At 34.0% G+C, this 24,405-nt stretch overlaps 1 protein-coding gene across 4 annotated transcripts in view; it reads left to right on the forward strand.

Moving 5' to 3' along the window:
• ITGAV (integrin subunit alpha V) overlaps window positions 1-23,599 on the forward strand; it is a 90,846-nt gene extending 67,247 nt beyond the window's left edge. For all 4 annotated transcript variants that reach the window (NM_002210.5, NM_001145000.3, NM_001144999.3 and 1 more), the window contains 13 exons: window positions 1,736-1,873; window positions 6,466-6,533; window positions 7,192-7,339; window positions 7,824-7,916; window positions 9,402-9,481; window positions 9,848-9,928; window positions 10,369-10,474; window positions 11,460-11,618; window positions 12,399-12,512; window positions 18,302-18,415; window positions 18,518-18,625; window positions 19,511-19,633; window positions 19,895-23,599. In NM_002210.5, coding sequence (NP_002201.2) covers window positions 1,736-1,873; window positions 6,466-6,533; window positions 7,192-7,339; window positions 7,824-7,916; window positions 9,402-9,481; window positions 9,848-9,928; window positions 10,369-10,474; window positions 11,460-11,618; window positions 12,399-12,512; window positions 18,302-18,415; window positions 18,518-18,625; window positions 19,511-19,633; window positions 19,895-19,990 — 1,428 coding nt within the window. In that variant the 3' untranslated portion in view covers window positions 19,991-23,599. The remainder of the gene's footprint in view (window positions 1-1,735; window positions 1,874-6,465; window positions 6,534-7,191; window positions 7,340-7,823; window positions 7,917-9,401; window positions 9,482-9,847; window positions 9,929-10,368; window positions 10,475-11,459; window positions 11,619-12,398; window positions 12,513-18,301; window positions 18,416-18,517; window positions 18,626-19,510; window positions 19,634-19,894) is intronic.
• The last annotated feature ends 806 nt before the right edge of the window (window positions 23,600-24,405 follow it).

Consider the following 24,405-nt stretch of genomic DNA (forward strand, 5'->3'; position numbering starts at 1 on the left):
CTTATATAGAACCTACACCTAACAACTAAAGAATATGAAAACTGACCATGCATAGGCCATAAAGGAAGTCTAAACAAATTTCAAAAAGTAATTTTATAGAATACATACTATCACAGTGCAGTTGTTAGAAATCCATAACAAAAAGATCAACTGGGAATTGGGAAGTGTGATTTTTAAATAACTTATGGGTCAAAAACAAGATCATAATGGAAATTTACTTGCAACCGTATTACAATGAAAATGTGACATCAAAATGTATAGGCTATCACAACAGTAGAATGTAAAGATAAATGTATAGCCTTAAATGCTATTTAATTTAAATGAAAGTTAAGAAAAAATGAAGGTAAGAAAGAAACACCACAAAATTAAGAATTGAGATGGGACATTACAGATAAGGGAGGAATTAACAGAATATTTTGAATAACCTTGGGCCAGTACATAGGAAAACTTTTAGACAAATCATGGAAATTCTTAGAAAAACAATACAACTGTCAAAAGAAGAAACAGAAAACCTGAATAATCCTCTAAACACTTAACAAATAGAATTGGCCATTAATCTTTACAAAACGACAAAGCCCAGATGGTTTTATAGGCAATATCTATCAAACATTCAAGAACAAGACTTCTCAATTTTAAATAGCTCTTTGAAAGAAAAAAAAAACCAAAATATTTCAAAGTCAATCTGTGAAACTAGTGTAATTGGTTCCTGGAGTGGTCAAGGATAGTACCAGAAGGGAGAATTTCATTCTAGTCTTACAATAGATGTAAAATGACTAAGCCATTATAAGCAAATAAGTCTTAGCAGTTTGTAAAAAAAGATACATAAACCAAGTTGGATTTATCCTAGAGTGGGTTAATATTAAGTCTAAAAATGTAATTTACCACATGAATAGATTAAAGAAGAAATATGTGACTGTCTTTTTTAAGTGCAAAAAAGGTTTTAGAGTAAATTTTAAAAACTTCAAGATTTAAGAAGCAAGACAAATACCCCAAGTTATGACTATGAAGAAATAGAATCTTACATTTAAACAAAGTCCACCAATACCTATTAATTGGTCAAGATGTGAATTAAGAATTCTTATACATTGCGGACGGCAGTGTGAATTGTTTTGAAGACTGGAAAATAATGTGGTACTACAGAACTGACAAATATACTTGTCACTATATATAAGAATAATCACAGCAATTTCTGTAATAGCAAAAACAAAACCCATAAACAATCAAAATAGCCTTTGACAGAATGGATAACTGAATGTATATTTACATGATGAAATAGTACTCAACAGTACAAAATTAACGTAGGCTACATGCAATAGAATGGATGGATCTTAAGAGTGTAGGACAGAAAGCAAGTCACAGAAGACTACATGTAATCCTATTGAGAAGGAATGCAGAGGGAGGAAGAGAAAGAAGTATTTGGGTAGCTTAAGCAGTATCAATAATGTTCTTATTATGTTGGGTGTGTGTGTTTGAGTGCTCATGTTGTTAACATGTCTCGTACTTTCGTGTGAATCAAATAGTACATTGTAAAACAAAAATTGACTAAAGGCTCTTACTTGATAAGGATAATCTTCTTTTGGATATTCTATTTCTACATAAGTATAATTTTCCAGAGAATGTTGTTAGAATTGAAGGCTCAGGGATGAATACAGCTGGCTTTGTAATGTGCACTTATGGATTTCTCCAGATAATTTAGGTTGACGTTATCATTAATTCAAAGCGTTTCCATTTCTAGGATGAATCTGAATTTAGAGACAAACTCACTCCAATTACTATTTTTATGGAATATCGGTTGGATTATAGAACAGCTGCTGATACAACAGGCTTGCAACCCATTCTTAACCAGTTCACGCCTGCTAACATTAGTCGACAGGTACTGTACTCAGTTTACCACTAATGTGATATTTTGTTATTTTTTTTTACAATTCATATTTTTAAATATTAGAGGAGATTTCCTTTATCATATTGATAGATGTTTAGTCAAAGTCAGAAGTTTAGGAATCTGAATTTTCTATTTTTTTTTCTTTTTGGTTTTTATTTTTTTGGGAATCTGAATTTTCAAGTCAGAGATATTTAAAGCCACTCAACATGGAGATATACAGAGAAAGACATTTCATATACATGAAATAGGAAAATAATTCAAGAACAGCAAAGTGCCAGTTTGTTTACATAGTATTTTAGTATTTTGCTAAATATATTTGATATCTGTTATTTTTGATATTTTAATTTTAAAAAGTGCATATATAGTAAATAAATAATTCTTTTCAGAAAACCAAAGAAAGCAACAAAATTTGATAGGTGGTATTCTAGTTTTAGAAAATCTTATGTGTAATGTATTTAAATATTGTTAATTCTAGTTACTATTTCTCCTTTTTAAATTACATGTTCATGTTTTTACATTAATATTTCTTCCTTCATAACTCTTTGCCCTAAATTTAGTTTATCATTTTTTTTTTGTCTTTCTGAGATCCCATAAGCTCTTTTTTTTTTGGTTTGTTTTCTGTATATGTGACAGTAGCAAAAGGCAAATTAAAATATTTTTAAAAGTCTTTTCTAATTTTTATATTTTAACAATTTCATATTTCATCCTGTACATTAATAATCATAGTATATGTGCCATTTTCTAGTATTCATTAACATAGAACTTATAACCATACTTCTGTGTTTATATTCTTTACATTTTTTATTTTTAATGAATGCACAATATTATGTTGATTAATAGTTTAATAATGACCATCTGAGCCTCTTAATGTCTGTCATTCAGTATTATACTTTCTTTGAAAGTTAATTGTTACTTGTCACTTTATATTATGTGCTTTCATATATGGGTTATGGTTATTTTCTGTTTATAGTTTTATAATTTTTTAGAAATCTTTTATTATCATTGTTATCACTACTTTTGATTAATTTTCCAAACTCCCCATCCAATTTCTTTAATGCCAATACCATGTTAAAACCAGCTAATCAAGTAGGCTAACTTTTGAAACCCTTGGAGGGCAAGAATAACTGCAGTAATATTTGACTTCCTTTTTTTCCCACCTATTCTCATTCTTCATTGTTTGAAAAAAATTTGTTTTGGTCTCCTCTGTGTCCTACATTTGTTCCATCAGTGACATTATTAAGTTTTAGGTATGTTTCTTTCTGCGTTCTTAGCTTTGTTATTCGCTCTTGTTTTTATGTTAATTACTTACCCCACCATTTTCATCATTTCCTTTTCTCTAAAATGGATGCTTCATTTCACTGGTTACGTTACAAACTCTTCCATGCACTCTCTCTTTGCTGTCAAATAGAAATACAAAGTTTTAATTGTAATTTTTAATTTGTAATTTTTAATTTGCTGGTTAGCAACATTTTTTTAAAAGGTAGAAAAGGTATAGGTGAAATTTATTTTAAAAATATATCTATATTAGTTTTCTAGGGCTGTCATAACAAAGTACCACAGAATGGGTGGCTTAAACAACAGAAATTGATTCTCTCCTAATTTTGGAGCCTAGAAGTCTGAGATCCAGAGTCAGCAGGGCTAATTTCTTCTGAGGCCTCTCTTCTTGGCTTGTAGACAGTCACCAGTCACCTTCTTGTGTCTTCACATGGTCTTCCTTTTGTGTGTGTGTCTGTGTCCTAATCTCTTTTTAAGCATCAGTCATTGGATTAGGGCCCACCTTAAAGACGTTTTAACTTAATAACTTCTTGAAAGACCATATTGCCAAATACAGTTCCATTCTAAGATACTGGGGATTAAGGCTTCAACTTATACATTTTGGGGGGACACAGTTCAGCCCTTAATGATATTTAAAATATTGTCATTTTTACATGGAATCACTTAAAAATTATCAGTGGAATATTTTGCATTCTGTTTTTTACTGTCTTCAAAATCCAGAATGTATTATATACTTTTAACACATCTAAATTCAAATATTTAGGTTTTATTAGAAATTTTTTTTGTATTTAGAATCCATGTAATTCACAGTTGAAAAAGTAGATTCAAATACTCAAGTTGTTCTAAACATACTAAAAGTTTTGTAGTAAGAGAATTAAGCATCAGCTTTTAACATTAAACTAATTTAAATTAAATAAAATTTAAAAATCAGTTCCTCAGTGACACTAAGCCCATTTCAAGTGCTCAGAAGCCACATGAGGCTTGCGAGCGGTTACTATATTGGACAATGCAGTTCTAGTGTTTCCCTTTCTGCTCCCTAATCCTTTGGTGTTAGAGATTTAGTGCTTTCTGCAGAAAGAGTTGGGTTTTTTTCTCTCATTTTTTTCATTCAAATACACATTAAGTTTTTTTTGTTTTTGTTTTTTTTTTTTTTTTTGAGACGGAATCTTGCTCTGTTGCCAGGCTGAAGTGCAGTGGCGCAATCTTGGCTCACTGCAACCTCCGCCTCCTGTGTTCAAGCGATTACCCTGCCTCAGCCTCCTGAGTAGCTGGGACTACAGGAACCCACCACCACGCCCGGCTAATTTTTTGTATTTCAGGAGAGATGAGATTTCACCATGTTGTCCAGGACAGTCTTGATCTCCTGACCTCGTGATCCACCCACCTTGGCCTCCCAAAGTGCTGAGATTACAGGCATGAGCCACCGTACCCAGCCTCAAATACATACTAATTTCTTACTTTGTGCAAGATGTAATATATATAACTGTAGAGACTTGGTTTTCTGAGCATGGAAGACATTGCTTTTCCATTTCTGAAACTATCTTTCCTGACAGCATATTTTAATACTATGGCTGCTTCAATGCCAGCTAAGTCCTTTTTTTCCCCTATAGAGTGATATCAGCCAAATATCTCTATATTACAGTTTTATTAATATTTTATACATATGTCTCATTGCAAACTTAAGATACTCATCTAACATTCTAACTGGGAATGTTATACATACCTTATCACTAGTTAATTTGTTATCTGTAAAGTCCACACTTTGATCTAATCAAGCGTTGATTTATATTTGGCATGATGTAAAGAATCACCATATAGTTCTTCTAATAGTCCTTTTTTAAAAAGGCTTATAGCAACTGCTTATATCTAGGTAATTGAATTAATTCACGTATATTTTTGTGTTTCCTTCAAATTAAAACGACAGTTACGAATCTTTGTCCAATATATAGCCACTTGCAAGCCTCATGTGGCTTCTGAGCACTTGAAATGGGCTTAGTGTCACTGAGGAACTGATTTTTAAATTTTATTTAATTTTAATTAATTTAACGTTAAAAGCTGATGCTTAATTCTCTTACTGCAAAACTTTTAGTAAGTTTAGAACAACTTGAGTATTTGAATCTACATTTTCAACTGTGAATTATATGAATTGTAAATGCAAAGAAAATTTCTAATAAAACCTAAGTATTTGAATTTAGATGTGCTAAAAGTATATAATACATTCTGGATTTTGAAGACAGTAAGAAACAGAATGCAAAATATTCCACTGATAATTTTTAAGTGATTCCATGTAAAAATGACAATATTTTAAATATTGTTAAGGGCTGAACTGAGTTCCCCCAAAATGTGTATGTTGAAGCCTTAATTCCGGACATTCCTTGTGACTTGGAAGTTTACAATCATCATCCTTTTTTTAAAGGACTCTATCTTTCTTTTCCTTTAAATCCTTTTCTCTCTTCTTTTTGTCTGCTTCTGTGCTTGAAGCCCTTTGGATGTTACCAGTAGGCAAAGCAAAAATGGCCTCATCTTTATTTTCCATTCTTTTCTTAATTTTTATGTTTCTTCTTTCACATCCTATCCAGCTCCTCTGCTTTTTTCCCACTGTTTCTCTCTTTTGGGTGTTTCCATTTTGCTCTAGCTGGAACATTCTCCTGGCCAGATCTAGTGGGGAAAAAGTTCAGGTCTTTGTTTTTTTCACCTACCCTGATTGGTTAACTATAATGCTTCAAGTTCCTTTTCCTTCATCTTTTTCCAAATGACCATGCAATGCTGGACTCATTTTATCCAGTTTCTTTTGCCCCTTGGTCTCTCTGCCTGTCTGAATTGCTGCTGAATATCTACAGCTCCTTATTCTTTTATCCTCTGCAGCCCTATTTCCTGATATTGGTAGAGGCACAGTCCATAATGAGAAACTCTAGAAGGGAGTCTATTTTGCCCAACATCTCACAACTTAACTAGCAGCAGGGTAAAAATGAAGCCTCATTTCTTGGCTATTACTTTCTTTTCTACACCAGTCTTCATTCAAATATGATAACAGCTTAATCTGAGATAAAACTGAAAGGTTCCAAGGAACTGTATCATATCCTATGAATCTTTTTCTTCTTTCTCTTTCTTGACTGGCTACACTGACCTGCTTAAAAATAAGTGGCCATGGTCTCTTTTGCATTCAGGTATACAACAAACAAGCTGATGAGTATCTGAAAATATATACATGTGTACATATAGGCTTAACCACATAGATATTGATAAACACTGCTTATGCCACCTGCATTGGTATTTTTCATGTAGAAAAATAAAATGTTTTTTTCTAGGCTCACATTCTACTTGACTGTGGTGAAGACAATGTCTGTAAACCCAAGCTGGAAGTTTCTGTAGATAGGTAAGTTTTGCTTGAAATAATAATGTAGTAAGAAATTTAAATGGAAGGGCACATTTTTCTATTCAAAGGACTAACATATTTTAACGAGAATTAGTTATCCTGGAGGGTAATGCCTGATTTTCTATAACACTAAAACTATCAATATTGAGCTTCTAAAGAAAATATCCACTGTGTTTTCACTAGTTGCCTAGGTTGAAAGAGTTATTACCATTCAACTTTGGGTAATATCACAAAATAATATTGTATCATTTTAAAGATACACTTCATCATAAACATTCTTTGAACTCAAGGAATATCCTTACCATTTTGTAAGGCATATGAATTATAAAGAATATTGTGAGAATTATGACACGTGATTAATTTAGCTTTTAGAAAAATATTGGGGAATTACAAAGTACATGTAATTCACTTCAGTAATAGATATGAATGATAGTGATATATTAGTGGCATCAATGTTTATTTTTATTGAGAGAAGCATTCGATTTGCACCCAGTGTGCTATTTTCTGTTTTCTATCAAGCTGTGAAGTAGTCTTAAAATACCTTGAGACACTGTTGAACATGTCAGTGCTGTGTATTTATCTCTTCTTTCTTTGAACAGTCATACTTTCCCCATGTAGTCTTTTTTTCTCAGTCTGGATTTGTATTGTTAACTTGTAGTGATCAAAAGAAGATCTATATTGGGGATGACAACCCTCTGACATTGATTGTTAAGGCTCAGAATCAAGGAGAAGGTGCCTACGAAGCTGAGCTCATCGTTTCCATTCCACTGCAGGCTGATTTCATCGGGGTTGTCCGAAACAATGAAGTAAGCAGGCTGCCTCTTTAAAAATTGAAATGCACTCACGGATCTTATTAACATTAATGAGCTGTTCCCCTATTTAGTGAAGCACAAGCTTAGCTATTCTACCTAAGGCTAAATTGATAGACAATGGAGTGCCTATCTTACATAATTCCTTTTAAGCCTAATACTTTGCATAATGCATTGATATGACATTTTTAGAATTGCAAGCTAAGTGCCTGGAAACAAGGTTAGATAGATAAAGTGTCTAAGCCTGTCCATCAAATTATTTGTCAGAGGCTGTATGGTTTTGTATGGTAGTCCTCTAGGGATCTTTCAGAAACACTTCTGCATTTCCATGTGGCAATTGTACCCAATTCTGGCTTTTTCCTTACCTCCTGGTTTGCTCAACTAGATTTATTTGCTTAGGACAAGAAACTGAAATATCCAACTGCGTGATACTTTATTTCCTTTCATATCCATTTTTTTTTTTTTTTTTGGTCTATCAAAGGCCTTAGCAAGACTTTCCTGTGCATTTAAGACAGAAAACCAAACTCGCCAGGTGGTATGTGACCTTGGAAACCCAATGAAGGCTGGAACTCAAGTAAGACAATTTAATTAAACGGATTTTTCTCCCTGGCAAATAGAAAAGCATATTGTTGTCTGGGCTCATAGTAATTTTTAAAAATAAACACTTCAAAACAATGTCCTTAAATTGGTTTCGATATAATAGTTAAATGATTAGCAGAGTTTTGCTTAGTTTTAACTAAGATACGAAAACAATTGGTTGTGCTCCTACACGGTTTGCAATCAGCTGCTCTTTATGCCTCCTTCACTTTAGTGAATGGATGAGAACGTGGTTTAAACTAAGGACTGAAATAATAATTTTTGCTATTTTACACTGATGCCTTAATGGATCCTGAAAAGCTACTCTGGCAACTACCAAGACTGTCAATCCTAGGTGAGCTAGATTCCATCACAGGCCCCACACAGAGGATCAAAGTGAAGGTCAGTTAAATCAGGCTCCCCTTCAGATGGTGGAGCAGGGTGCCCAGGAGCTTGAAAAGAAGCAGCCAATGGCTTGCTTTCCGAATCCTCTAAAAAGTAAACAAAATATACCTTGTAGAATTTCTAGTAGCAAGGACAAAATGGCAGCATATGCTGTGTGACTTTTTCAATAGAATTTATTTAATGACTTATTGATACTGGTACTTTGAAGATCTGTGGTAATACAGGTCTAAATATTCCATATTTCTTTAGTATGTTTTCTATTACAAGTCATTAGTATTTCTAGATGTATGGTATCTTAGGGATGAGAACTTGAACAAATTACCCTAAGTTCAGTTTTTCACGTGTATTCAATGTTTTATTAACAATGAGCATGCCTTTTATTTTCTCATATTCTCATTCTCTCTAACTTTCTGGTTATTATATAGTTTCTGCTTATTACAAGTAGCCAGCTCCAGGTTTTGTGGAGTGGGAGGCAGAACCCAGGAAGTACTGTTTTTATATGTCATTTGTGTGATCCCCAAGAAGCCTTCTTTTTTGTACCTGGTGGTTCAATTGTTTTATTTAAAATCTACCAATTTTCTGCCTGCAGGAATTAGGATATTTGGTGTTGGGAGTGTTATGAGAGGTGTGTGGAGAAATTCTGGTTGTGGCCCTACTCATGCCTTCTTTAGCCATGTTCCCTTACTCTAGTAAACCATCCATTTCTTCTTTCCTGGCCTATGAACACAGCACATACTTTGGTGGTTAGCTTCGTGTTATCAAATTATTGTACCCAGTTGCTAGACTTTCACTGGATCAACAAACATTTACTTTTGCACTTTTTAGAAAGATGGTTAGTATTATAAGGAGGTATAATTATGATTAATAATTGTTGTTAAATAGGCTCTCTTATGGATTGGTCCAGGTATATTAAGTAAAATAGGTTTGATAGAAAATAAGATTTAGTTATCTTTGTTCAGTTTTATTGTAAGCTCAGAAAAACCCCATTTTAGAACATTATTTTTTATTTAGACATTGGATTTGAAATTTTGCTAATTAGACATTGACTAGCATTACTATCTTTTCCTCTCTCCTTTAGCTCTTAGCTGGTCTTCGTTTCAGTGTGCACCAGCAGTCAGAGATGGATACTTCTGTGAAATTTGACTTACAAATCCAAAGGTATGAAAACAACTTATATTCACTTATAACTATCAAATAAATATTATTTGTTGTAAATATACTATGTAATATACTTTAAATATAAAGTAGCAGATTAAATTTTATTGCTTGACTATAGCATTTTAAAATCAATATTTACATTATAAGAATAATTTTATTGTCAGATTTGAGTTTGTAAAACAAAATTTAAAATCCAGAAAGAAAATGTTCATCTTCTTGGAATTAAGTGTTAATGAAAATAACTATTTTGAGGTATAAGCTTTACACTTGTTTCGTTTGTTAATTTTTAGTTTCACTGGGTTTGCCTCTGTATGTTCTTGGTTGTTATGCATAATTCATTTTTAAGTTTTTTTTTTTCTTTTTCAGCTCAAATCTATTTGACAAAGTAAGCCCAGTTGTATCTCACAAAGTTGATCTTGCTGTTTTAGCTGCAGTTGAGATAAGAGGGTCAGTATGAATACTTAGTTGAGTATCTCATTCTCATGATTGCTTTTTAAAGGTAACTGTCAGGCCTTAGCCTTTTCTGGACAATAGACCCTGCATGTTTAGTGGTGGTTTTACTAGGGCATTAGCTTCTGTAGAAATAAAATCCTAGGTATGTTCCAAACCCCCAATACTGGGTGATCCTCAAAAGGAACAAGACATGGCAACAACATGCACAAAATAATTTTGTTGAACTTTTACACAAATTGTCAATTCACCTGTTACGTGTACATTTCATAAGAGCAGTTTTTGTGCATGTGTGTGTTCATTAGTTTTCTTTTAAAGTATTTTTTAAAATTAAATCTAATTTTATTTATTTGAGTAATGAATATGGGGTACTTTTGAAAATGAACTGACTATATCATTTTGATATTCATGGTAGGTTTTCTTTGGTCATTGTTTAGAGTCTCGAGTCCTGATCATGTCTTTCTTCCGATTCCAAACTGGGAGCACAAGGAGAACCCTGAGACTGAAGAAGATGTTGGGCCAGTTGTTCAGCACATCTATGAGGTTTGCAGTTGTTAGATTTTACTCAAACCTCGTGAGCAAGCCAACGAAGAGAGGAACAACTAAGCTACTTTAAAAAAAAAATTCTATGTAATTTTTATGTAAACTCTACATTGGTTAAGTATGTGTCAGAGATTTCTTTGAATATTTTCCCTATACATAAATTCATTTTTATTTGACAAATAGACTTGTTTAAATAAAGCAGTTTATATAATTTGTTGTTTAAAATAAATTAGTTCTACTTGAATAAAGAAATGTCATTGGTACTTTCTCATGGGCATTTTGTAGTTCTGGCTAAAAATTGAAAATACCTATGGCAAATAATCAAAACTATTTCTATAGGAAGAAATTTTCTTTGTCATCCTTCATTAATAACTTTTAAATATTTTGCCTTTTGTTTATACATACATACATATATATATATATATATATATATATATATATTTTTTTTTTTTTTTTTTTTTTTTTTTGAGGTGAAGTCTTGCTCTGTCGCCCAGGCTGGAGTGCAGTGGCGCGATCTCAGCTCACTGCAAACTCCACCTCCCGGGTTCAAGCGATTCTCCTGCCTCAGCTTGCTGAGTAGCTGGGATTACACGTGTGCACCACCATGCCCGGCTAATTTTTGTATTTTTAGTAGGGACAGGGTTTCACCGACAGGTTTCACCACGTTGGCCAGGCTGGACATGAACTCCTGACCTCAAGAGATCCGCCCGCCTCGGCCTCCCAAAGTGCTGGGATTACAGGCATGAGCCACTGTGCCCAACCTTGTTTATATTTTTATCCTGACACATATTACTCTGTGTTAGAGACAAATGTTGAGTTTGATCATTTTTGCATAAAAATGGTCACATTGTAATTAGAGGTTAACTGTGGAAATTGCTGTTATTTAAAACCTATTGCTAACATGATTTCTAAAGTTGATGTAGGGGAAGGATTATGGAACAGATTTTTGCCCAAGGTGTAGATACATTTTCTTTTTTCTCCTTAGCTGAGAAACAATGGTCCAAGTTCATTCAGCAAGGCAATGCTCCATCTTCAGTGGCCTTACAAATATAATAATAACACTCTGTTGTATATCCTTCATTATGATATTGATGGACCAATGAACTGCACTTCAGATATGGAGATCAACCCTTTGAGAATTAAGGTAATATGCTTAATAGCAGCTCTTCATTACAATGATATTTCATTGCCTTCTTTCTAAACCTGTAAAAGAAATTCATAAAATAAAACAACTATTTTAATATAAAACCCACTCTGCAAAAAATGGTTTAGTTCATAAGCAGTACACTTAGGATAAGTTCATTTGTATAATGGGTAAGAATTGATTCTGTGATGTCTAGTGAACCACATCTTCATAGAGTGCTTACTGAGCCTCATGAGATGTGTCCTTCAGTGACTCAGTTTGACCTTGGCTCCATCACGTTGTTGTTTCTTCAGGGCATAATATCACATCAAGGGTGTTTTGTTGTTAAAATTTCTACCTTTGGGATAAGCTATACCATTTTACTCATGATTATCTTGACTTTTGGATATAGTCATCTCCATCATAGATTTGCACTAGAAACTATTACACAATATGATCTAAGGAAAGGTGAAGAAACAAAATAAAAGATATACCCATGATTGACATCACAAATGTACTGTGGAATTTCAGGCCATTTCTGTATGTTTCATCAGTTTCCACTCTAGCTAAGCAAGGGCTGAAAATAATGGTTAGGGAGAGCTAACTTTTTTGGTACATATTAAAGACTCTAATCTTTATTTTCTGTCCTTACTGCTCACTATATACTGAGTGGTAAATATTCTGTCATACTAAATTTTCATTCACTATTTTTTAATCATATCTAAGAGTTTATATCAAAATGCTGATGTAAAATGTTTTTCATTATCATTTACCACCATTTTATTAATGTGATTGCATTAGATCTCATCTTTGCAAACAACTGAAAAGAATGACACGGTTGCCGGGCAAGGTGAGCGGGACCATCTCATCACTAAGCGGGATCTTGCCCTCAGTGAAGGAGATATTCACACTTTGGTAAGTGCCATTTCAAATATGTGCACCATAGACATTTAAAAATATGTGACTATAGAACTGACGCCAAAGAACATTTCAAAAATAACAACAGCTGTGCTTGAACAACTACATTTATTTTTATACCATGCATTCCTCTCACTTTCCTTTTTCCTAGTCAGATTAATGCCATATTTTCTTCAAATGAGCTATTTTTGTAGATGGCTAATAAAACTAGTTTATGTCCCAACTTTGATTCTCCTACTCTAGTTCTTTAACTGTCCTCTTTCTGGGCCTCCTCCTAATCTCTGAGGCTTTAGTACGATACTAAAAAATCCAGAAGGTCCCAACAAAAATACATTGGAATAATAATTAGCACTTGATTAACCTTTGTTGAGTTAGCCTATATAATGGCTATAATGTTTTTAAAGGCAATTGTTTTTCTTTTTTCTTTTAATTAACAAATCTCCAGATCTCTAGTAGAGAACCTGGTATAGTGTTTTTTGTTTGTTTGTTTGTTTGTTTTTTGACACAGAGCCTCACTTTGTCACCCAGGCTGGAGTGCAATGACACAAACACAGCTCACTGAGGCCTTGACCTCCCAGGCTCAAGCAATCCTCCCCTATCAGTCCCCCAAGTAGCTAGGACTATAGGCGCTCTCCCCCATGCCCAGCTAAGTTTTGTATTTTTTGTTGAGATGAGGTTTCACCATGTTGCCCAGGCTGGTCTCAAATTCCTGAGCTCAAGCGATCTGCCCACCTCAGCCTCCTAAAGTGCTGGGATGACAGGCATGAACCACCATGCCCAGCACTGTTTATGTTCAATAGTGATCACTAGTTACTTTTACATCACCAAATTCTGTGGTTCTTGTTAGTCCTCAACCATTCAATTGCCTAGTGGCTTTGGTTCACTTAATCACTTCCTTCTGTTGACTCTCATGGCTGTAAATACCATGTGGTGTAGATGCTTTGATTTATATTTCCAGTCTGATCTTCTGCATTGAACTTCAGATTCCAATATCCAACTGCCTACTAGAAACTGCTTTTAAATATCTAATAGGAATCTCAAACAATTCTAAATATATACCCTTGGGTTTTCCCAAGTCTGCTCTTTCCATAAAGTTCTTAGTTGATTTTAGTAAATACCAACTTCATTCTCTAACACCTGGACCTCATGCTTGACTCCTCTCTTTCTCTCAAATCTCACGTCTTGTATTTCAGCAAATTGCATCAGTATTTTCTTTCAAAATACCTAGAATCTGGCCCCTTCTCACCAGTTTCATCACTAACACAACCTAACCCAGGCTCCTTTCCCTTCTCGATTGGACTATTGCCAGACCCCTGGTTGGCCTCTGTATTTCTGCCTTTCTCCCCACTATACTTTGTATGCTATAGAAGCCCCAGTGATCCTTTTAAATATAGGTCAGGTTGTGTCACTCCAGTGCCTTCCCATCTAACTCAATGAGAAAGCAAGAGGCTACAATGACCTTTAAGCCCAACATCAACAGGCCCTTCCTGCCTCTCTGCTTGCATCTCCTCTCCTTACTATTCTCTTTCTCAAATTTTCCACCTTGCTTTCATTGAACAGATAGCCCCAAGCATGTTTATTCCTCCATGCTTTGAAAATTGCTCTTCCATCTGCCTGGAATTCTTTGTCCAGATATCCTTGTGGCTTATTTTCCCATATCCTTCTCATGTCCTTAAAAGTAAAATTATGTCAGAGATCTTCCCTGACCAACCCATGTGAAATAGAAACTGCCTTCTACCTCCCAACCCCACTTTTGATCTTGCACTTTCTGTCCTCCTTCAGAATCTGTTTTCTTTAATTGAGACAAAACTTACACAAAATTAACCATTTTAATGATTTTAAAGTGCATAATTTAGTGTTTTTTAGTATAATTACAACATTGAACCACCATTACCACTATAATTGTAAACATTTTTGTCACCCCAAAAAGAAATGCTGTACCCATTAAGCAGTTTATCCATTCTCCCCTATCACCAGCCCCTGGTGACCACTAATCTGCATTCCTACTGATTTGCCTATTCTGGACATTTCATACATATAGTATCATACAACATATGGCCTTTTGTGTCTAGCCTTCTTTCATGTAGCATGTTTTCAAGATCTATGTTGTGGTGTGCCTTAGTACTCCTTTTTTTTTTTTTTTTCTTTTTTTGAGACAGAGTCTCGCTCTGTCACCCAGGCTGGAGTCCAGTGGCGAAATCTCGGATCACTGCAAGCTCCACCTCCCGGGTTCACGCCATTCTCCTGCCTCAGCCTCCCGAGTAGCTGGGACTACAGGCACCCACCACCACACCCGGCTAATTTTTTTGTGTTTTTAGTAGAGACGGGGTTTCACCATGTTAGCCAGGATGCTTGATCTCCTGACCTCGTGATCCGCCCGCCTCGGCCTCCCAAAGTGTTGGGATTACAGGCGTGAACTACCATGCCCAGCCAGTACTTCATTTTTATGCCTGAATAATACTCCATTGTGTGGACATACCACCTTTTGTTTATCTATTTATCAGTTGATCAACATTTCGATTATTTCTACTTTTTGTCTGTTTTGAATGTGTTGCTATGAACATTGATGCATAAATTTCCATGTAAACATGTTTTTCAGTTTTATTGAGAATAAACATAAGAGTGCAATTGCTAGGTCATGTGGAAACTCTATGTTTAACTTTTGGAGGAACTGCCAAACTATTTTCCAAAGTTGCTGCAGCATTTTGCAATCCCAACCAGCAATATATGAGGGTCCTATTTTCTCCACATCTTTGTCAACACTTATTATTTTCTGCTTTTGTTTGTTTTAAAATTTTTATAATCATCCTGGTTGGTGTGAAGAAGTAACTCATTGTGGTTTTGATATGCATTTCCCTGTAGACTGATGATATTCAGCATCTTTTCAGTTGTGTATCTTTTTTAGACAAATGTCTATTCAAATTTTTTGCCCATTTTTAAATTGGGTTATTTGCCTTTTATTGTTGAGTTGCAAAGAGTTATTTATATATTCTGGATACTACCTTCATTAGATATATGATTGCACAGGTTTTGTCTCATTCTGTGTGAACTGTCTTTTTACTTTCTTGATGGTGTCCTTTAATGCACAAAAATTTTTAAATCTGAAGTTCAATTTATCTATGTCTTCTTTTGTTGCTTGTAATTTTGTCATCATATTTTTAAAACCATTGCCCAATACAAGGTCATGAAGATTCATACCTAGGCTTTTTGGTTTTATAAGTTTTACACTTACAGCTCTTACATTTACATCCCTGATTCATTTTGGGTTAATTTATGTGTATGGTGTGAGGTAGGGGTCCAGATTGATTCTTTTGTGTGTGGCTATCCACCTGTCTGAGCAACATTTGTTGAAGAAATTATTCTTTCCCCTTAAATGGTCTTGGCAGTCTTGTTGGAGATGAATTGATTATAAATATATGGATTTATTTCTAGACATTCAGTTCTATTCAGTTGACCTATATGTATATCCTTAATACAAGTAACAAATTGTTTTGATTACCATAGCTCTGGAGTTCAGGTTTTGAAATAGGGAAATATGAATACATTTTATTCCTTTTAAGATTATTTTGGTTAGAGTCCCTTGCGATTCCATGTGGATTTTAGGATCAGCTTGTCCATTTCTGCAGACAAGGTAGTTGGAATTTTGGTAGCAATTTTCTTGAGCAACCTAGGGAGTATTGCTATCTTAACATTACATAGTTCAGTTCATGAACATGGTATGTCTTTCTGTTTATTTATTCTACCATTTTTTCAACAATATTTTGTCACTTTTAGTGTACTTGTCTTGCACATCCTTGATTATGTGATTTCTGTGTATTCTTTTCAATGCTTTTTATTATTATTATTATTTTATTTTATTTCTTTTTCAGAAGGAGTTTTTGCTCTTGTTGTCCAGGCTGGAGTGCAATGGTGTGATCTCGACTCATTGCAACCTCCACCTCCCAGGCTCAAGCAATTCTTCTGCCTTGGCCTACCGAGTAGCTGGGATTACAGGTGCCCACGACCAGGACTGGCTAATTTTTTGTATTTTTTTAGTAGAGACAGGTTTCACCATGTTGGTCAGTCTGGTCTCGAACTCCTGACCTCAGGTGATCCACCCACCTTGGCCTCCCGAAAGTTCTAGAATTACAAATGTGAGCCACTGTGCCTGGTCTATTTTTATTTTTATTTTGTAGAGACAGGGTCTTATTCTCTCATCCATGCTGGAGGACAGTAGCATAGTTATAGCTTACTGCAACCTCGAAATCCTGGGCTCAAGCAATCCTCCTGCCTCAGCCTCCTGAGTAGCTAGGATTATAGGTGCACCCACCACACCTGGCTAATTTTTAAATTTCATTTTGTAGAAATAGAATCTCACTACGTTGCCTAGGCTGGTCTTGAACTACTGGCCTCAAGTGACTTTCCCACTTTGGTTTCCTAAAGTGTTGAAGTTACAGGTGTGAGCCACTGCTCTTGACCTCAGTGCTGTTTTAAAGGAAGTTGTTTTCTTAATTTCTTTTTTGGATTTCTTATTGATAGTATACTGAAATATGACTCATATTTGCATATTGATCTTGTGTCCTGTACCTCTTCTGTACTTGTTTTTTTAGCTTAAATAGTTTTAATTTGGATTATTTAGTGTTTTCTATATGTAAGATCCTGTCATCTACAAAGAGATAGCTTTACTTTATCATTTCTAATCTGGATACCTTTTACTTTTTTTTTTCTTTTTGAAGAAAGAGTCTAGCTCTGTCACCGAGGCTGGAGTGCAGTGACATGATCTTGGCTTACTGCAACTTCTGCCCCCCAGGTTCAAGCGATTCTCCTGCCTTAGCCTCCCAAGTAGCTGGGATTACAGGTGCCCACCATCACGCCTGGCTAATTTTTGTATTTTGAGTAGAGATGGCATTTCACCATGTTGGCCAGGCTGGTCTCGAACTCCTGACCTCAAGCGATACGCCTGCCTCAGCCTCCCAAAGTGCTTTGATTACAGGAGTGAGCCACTGCACCTGGCCTTAATTTTTCTTACCTAATTGCACTGGCTAGAACCTTCCGTACAATATTGAGTAGAAATGGCTTGATTGCTATTGTCTTATTTCTGACATTAGGGAGAAAGAAGGATGAAGTATGATATTAGCTGTGGGCTTTTTATCAATGCCCTTTCTCAGGTCAAGGAAACTCTTTTCTACTCCTAATCGTCAACAAATGGTACCACTACTGGATAACATTGTCATGAGGTGTATATATGTGATATGTCTAATACAGTGTGATCAGCATATAGAAGGTGGTGAATATTTATTTCTTTTGGCTGCCAACCTCGAAGTTACTGATTAAAACATTAAATGTGTCAGAGGCCATCAGCATGCGATTTGATTTCTGTAGGCCCTCCATGGAAAAACCATTAAAAATTCTGTTTTCTTTTCCATGGGGATGTTGAGATCTGGTTATTATATCTTACAAATATCACCATGTTATGGGTTTGCCTAAAGAATATTGAGTTCTAGTCATAGAGTGAATCTTTTAATATTATGGATCTTATCTTTCTATAACAAATCACGATAAAACCAACCCTTTCATTTACAAGGAACTACATGTGTGGCAAAAGAAGAAAAAGAAAAGAAACATACCAACCCCTTCACAATAAAAAGCATTCATAGACTCAACTATTAGCCTGTTTATTTTCAAGACAGAAGAATCTGGATAATCTCTTTGGCCATCACACAAAAAGAAAAAAAATGGCAAATTTTCAAATGTTGAAGAGATGATAGAATGACCTTTTCTTATAAGTAAAGGATTTGTTTTGGCAGGGTTGTGGAGTTGCTCAGTGCTTGAAGATTGTCTGCCAAGTTGGGAGATTAGACAGAGGAAAGAGTGCAATCTTGTACGTAAAGTCATTACTGTGGACTGAGACTTTTATGAATGTAAGTAGACAGGTGCAGCATTTAGCAAACATACCCAGTGTTTTCAAATAAATATAAAAGGCCTGATATCTGGGAAATCATCTAATTGTTATTTCCAAACAGAAAGAAAATCAGAATCATTCCTATTCTCTGAAGTCGTCTGCTTCATTTAATGTCATAGAGTTTCCTTATAAGAATCTTCCAATTGAGGATATCACCAACTCCACATTGGTAAGTCATTGGTTTAGGCAAATAGAATAAATTTACTCAATTCAAATGCTGTACATGTTTTTATTTTGTTTTTTAAAGAACGACAGCTTAACTTTTTTGATAATTTAAACTAATGAAGTTATATGATAGCATTATAACCTAGTTTAATATTATCATTTTACTCCTTACCCCGAAGTGATTAAAGCTAGACCTTTTAGTTTAGCATCTTGTCCAGTGTAAGAGATTTCTTAGTATATACTAAATTATATTGGAGAAATTTTAGGAATTTTCGTTTACAAAGTTAGAAAGTTGGAAATTAACTGCAACAAGTGAGGCATTTTGAAGATATTTAAGGAGTAAAAATGGGATCAGCACATAGTAAACTGGATTGGATTATTTAAAAATCATTTCAAGCTGGGTGTGGTTGCCTCACACCTGTAATCCCAGCATTTTGGGAGGCTGAGACAGGTGGATCATTTGAGGCCAGGATTTCAAGACCAGCCTGGCCAACATGGTGAAACCCCTTCTCTACGAAAAATACAGAAAAATTAGCTGGGTATAGTGGCGCAGGCCTGTAATTCCAACTACTGGGGAGGCTGAAGCATGGAGGTTGCAGTGAGCCGAGTTCATGCCCCTGCATTCCAGCTTGGCCTACATACTGGGCGAGACTCTGTCAAAAAAAAGGAAAACAAATCATGTCAGATGCAATCAGAAGTCAGCCTATCATTGGGAGTTTCATGTGTGTATGTGCATGCTCTTGATATCAAATGTGAAACCACTAAATTATCATATGCAGGAAAAGAATATACTGTGAATTCCATTAAAATAAAATATAATATTTACTCAGATATTTGTTGATTAAGTCAATGGACTGTTTTTAAAACTAAAAGCTTTTTTCCTCGATAGGTTACCACTAATGTCACCTGGGGCATTCAGCCAGCGCCCATGCCTGTGCCTGTGTGGGTGATCATTTTAGCAGTTCTAGCAGGATTGTTGCTACTGGCTGTTTTGGTATTTGTAATGTACAGGGTAAGTAACGGACTTAGAAAGAAGGAGAGAGGGAAAGCAGAAGAAAAGGGAAAGGGAAGAAGGAAAAGAAGAATGAAAAGTAAGGGAAGGAAGAAAGGGACTGTAATGATGATACTTGATGAGCATTACTTATTATATGAGGGAAGATAAATTTTATGAAATACAATTTAAATGTTCTTAGTGGTAATATAGTCACCCAAAAAATACTTTTCGTATTCTACACTGATGTGACAGTAATAATGGTTTTTCTTCAACTGACAGATGGGCTTTTTTAAACGGGTCCGGCCACCTCAAGAAGAACAAGAAAGGGAGCAGCTTCAACCTCATGAAAATGGTGAAGGAAACTCAGAAACTTAACTGCAGTTTTTAAGTTATGCTACATCTTGACCCACTAGAATTAGCAACTTTATTATAGATTTAAACTTTCTTCATGAGGAGTAAAAATCCAAGGCTTTACTGCTGATAGTGCTAATTGGCATTAACCACAAAATGAGAATTATATTTGTCAACCTTCTCCTTATAAATAAGTTCAGACATACATTTAATAACATAGGGTGACTTGTGTTTTTAGGTATTTAAATAATAAAATTTCAAGGGATAGTTTTTATTCAATGTATATAAGACAGGTAGTGCCTGATTTACTACTTTATATAAAATAGTACCTCCTTCAGTTACTGTTTCTGATTTAATGTACGGAACTTTATTTGTTGTTGTTGTTGTTGTTGTTGTTGTTGTTTTAAAGCAGTCCAAATTTGGACCTTAGCAATCATGTCTTTTGTATAGGTACTTAATGTTAATACATATTACACTACAGTTTACTTTTCAGAATACTAAAGACTTTATAACTGCATGAACTTGGATTTTTTTAATCACTCATATGGTAGAATTTTATAAACACATACATGATACCATCCAAATTCTTGCTTTTAATAACAAAGGTACAATATTTTGTTTTAGTATGAAAATCTGGTAGATCCTATTACACTTCTGTTTATATTAAATCCACAATATTTTATTACATTTTTAACTTGTATAAATTTTAGGTCAAATCCTTCAAGCCAACCTATACTAAAAATTAGTTCCATAATCACAAATGGCTCTTTTGTGTAATTGTTTAATTTCACCTGAATATCATAATGCTTAAAGCCATATGGAGTTGGAAATTATTTCCAAAGCATATTTATTCCATTGTTTTAGTCTGGCTATTTACAGTATAAAAAAAGCATTTTTATTAAAATACTGTGTAGTTCTTTGAGATAGTTGCTTATGCATATAGTAAGTATTACATTCTTAGAGTAGAGCAGAGTTTTTAGTTAGTATTAATTTATTTTCCTCCATTCATGTACTTTTCCTTATATTTCCAAAACTGTTACTGAGAATGGGTCAAGATCAGTGAGAAATCTTTACAGTTGACAGGAACCTGGACCCCTTACCCCAACTTTATGAGTAATGCTTGGAATAAAAACTCTTAAGGCAACTCACTGATTTACTTCTAGCAATAGCATGATGTTACAGGAATATTACCTCTGTTTAAGCAAGGTAATGTGTAAAATCAGTCTCGGCTGTCAGAATAACTTCTAAAAGGTATTTTTATAAGCAGTTCAAGTTACTGAAAACCTTTTAAACCTTTCTGAAGTTCGTTAGTATAAATTACTTTTCTAGGATTATTAATAAAAGCCACATAGGTGGCAAGTTGTAGTTTTATATGGCTCTGTAGAGTGGTGAACCTTCTAGAGGAATATATGATTTATTCACAGTTCCTCAAGGCCTGGGGATGATGATCAGTTATACCTATTTTTGTGCAATTACATCATGTTGTACATTAGAAATGGAGAGTTTAATAGCTCTTTAACTGCTGTCCTCATTAGGTAATGATAAATATTTCCCTTAAATAATTGACTATTTTGCTGTGTTTTAAAAATGATTGAAATTTATCTTGCCATATCTCATAATTTCATGCACAAGTTGACTGAGCTAATCTTGAGAATATATTCGTAAAATAGGAGCACATTTAGTTGAGGTATACAAGGTAGGACTCTAGACAAAACCTTCTATTTTAGCTTTAGTGAATTTCAAAAGTAATGGGTCTTGGAGTATAGATTTTTATTAGTAGCTTGAAAGAGCTTAATCATATGCAGTAAGTATTTTTATTACCAATAAATTTAAAATTTTTTAAGAAAAATATTTTTATCCTAGGGCCAAGTGTTGCCTGCCACCAATCAGTAAGTTAGTCTATAACAAATTTTACCCTAACAGTTTTACCACCTAGTAACAGTCATTTCTGAAAATATGTTGGATAGAAAGTCACTCTTTGGCAAAAGTGTTAGAATTTGCTTTTGTGCCATCTATTCCTTTTATGGCATCTATCTTGAAAGTAATCTTGTATTGGAGATTGAAAGATGCTGTAATTTAGAAATTAACATGATATCTTAAATTACCTTTATGAAATATAGTTTTGTATAATAGCATAGATTTTCCTTCAAAAAATGAACATTTATATATCTACAAAAATATGGAGAAGAGTAATTTGAAAGCCTACTTTCTGAAGAAAATGGTGGGATTTTTTTTTATCATGATTAAATATCAAAAAATTGCCCTATGAAAACTTTAAATCTCTAAAACATTTGAAATACTACCATATTTGTGATTTATTGAGAATAAAAATCCATTTTGAAATGTAAAATTTTTATGATCTGATTCAGTTTTAAGAAAACATGAATGAACTAGAAGATATTAAAAACATTTGACATTGGTAAGAAATATTGATACTGATATTGATTTTTATATAGGTATTTATTTCAGAATTGATATTTTGAGAAAAATACATGTGAGTCATTTTTTCTGTTTCTCTTTTCTCTTAACGATTATCACTGTAATTCTGAATCTGAAAGGTAAAACAATTAGTCAAAATATTATTGCCATCATTCTACCTGTGTTATGAAACTACTTATTCATAGTTAATTCTCATTAACACTTACATTTCCATAAAGAAAACTCAAGTATTAATAAAAGAGACTTTACTGGCTTAAGAGGGCTGTGAAAGATTTTTGATAGTGAATCATGACCCTAAGGGAGAGATTTGTGTGATAAAAGTATTGTATATAATAGATCAGCGATTTTTGTAAGGCAAACAGAATTTGTAAGTTGGCAGATCTTCCTAAGTTGCAAAATGTAATGATGAGCTTGGTGGAGAAGAATGAGTCGTTCTTGGAATACCTATGTGCAGCCACTACCCATCTCAATGTCACCTTGTTTGCATTCTTGGATAGCTTGTATATGTAGTAGTTTGATGAATAATTTAAAGAAAAACACCTAAAATTTGAAAAATGATTGTAGGATCAAAAAAGGCAGATGAAATTACTTAATACTCAGTGTTTTGGAGAGTATTCCTTTTAGTTTGTTGGTTGGCTGGTTTGAACGATAGAAATATGCAGCATGCAATATATGCTTATATTTCATTTTAATTTCTGATATATAATGAACTTCTTGGGAGAGGTACTGAATCTTTGATGTTTTTTGTCATTGTTCTCAAGTGCAATATAACAATGTAACCAAATCTAGATAATTTCAAAGTTGTCATTAATTTAGTAAGCCTAATATAAACAAATATTTGTATTATTTTTGTTAGCAGGAAAGAGTGATTAAGTGAGGTTATTTACCCCTAAATGGTCCATTCTGCATTGTATTTCAGGCTGGAAATGAATTATTCTTTACCAGTTTTGAAACACTTTGAAATATCCTAAGGTAACTTGGAAGCTGTGTAGTATATCAAATTAATTTGCTACCTAATAACATAGAAAGTAAATATCTTTGTGGTCACCCACATTGGGTGAGACAGAAAATGAATCTGTTCTAAAATTTGTAATTTGCTAACTTGATTTGAGTTAGTGAAAACTGGTACAGTGTTCTGCTTGATTTACAACATGTAACTTGTGACTGTACAATAAACATAAGCATATGGTACCACTTTTGTGTATGGGGTTTATCCTTTCTGTGACGTGTTTTTGTTTTTTGATTACATGAGCTAGCAATAATGCACTAAAAGGATGACCTCAGAGGTAACTTTCTGTAAAACTTCAAATCTTGAATGTCAGTTATTTGATGAAAAGAAACACAAAAAGAGCAAAATGTACCACATTAAAATTCATCCTTAGAAAGGCAAATATGTATTTGCCTGAAATATAAGAATTATTTTATTTCTAAACAAACATTTCTAAATTCATTATGCTAACCTTTATTATTTTTACATTATCAGATTCCTTTTAAAATGCACATTTACATCTTTTATAATTTTTAATTATAGTGTATATATGTCATTGCATATATGCAGTTGCAATATACATATGCAATTCTAGTATAAAAATACCTATTTTTATAAATGAAAAGTACCAAGAAGAAAATTAAGTGTTGAGATGCTTGGGAAATTATACTGAAGTAGCATAATACACCACCGTAAATTCCTATGGAAATAAGATAGAGTATTGCCAGCATCCACAAGCCCCCTTCTGTCTCTTTCTAATCATATCTCACCCTGCCCTGCAAAAGTAACCACTGTCCTTACTTCTAACACTATATGCTTAGTTAGATGTGATATTTCCCCTGGACCAGCAAGTCATAACTACCCCTATCCTGACCACCATACTTGATATTTTGGCTCCAATTAAGATGTAAAATGTACAGCACCTACACATGGAAGTATTTTGAGTGTGAGAATTAGAAAATGGGCAGAGCCTTTCTGTCCTGCCTGACTTACTAGTTGCTCTTTAGGATCA

This window comes from Homo sapiens, chromosome 2, assembly GCF_000001405.40.
Source record: "Homo sapiens chromosome 2, GRCh38.p14 Primary Assembly".
NCBI lineage: Eukaryota > Metazoa > Chordata > Mammalia > Primates > Hominidae > Homo > Homo sapiens.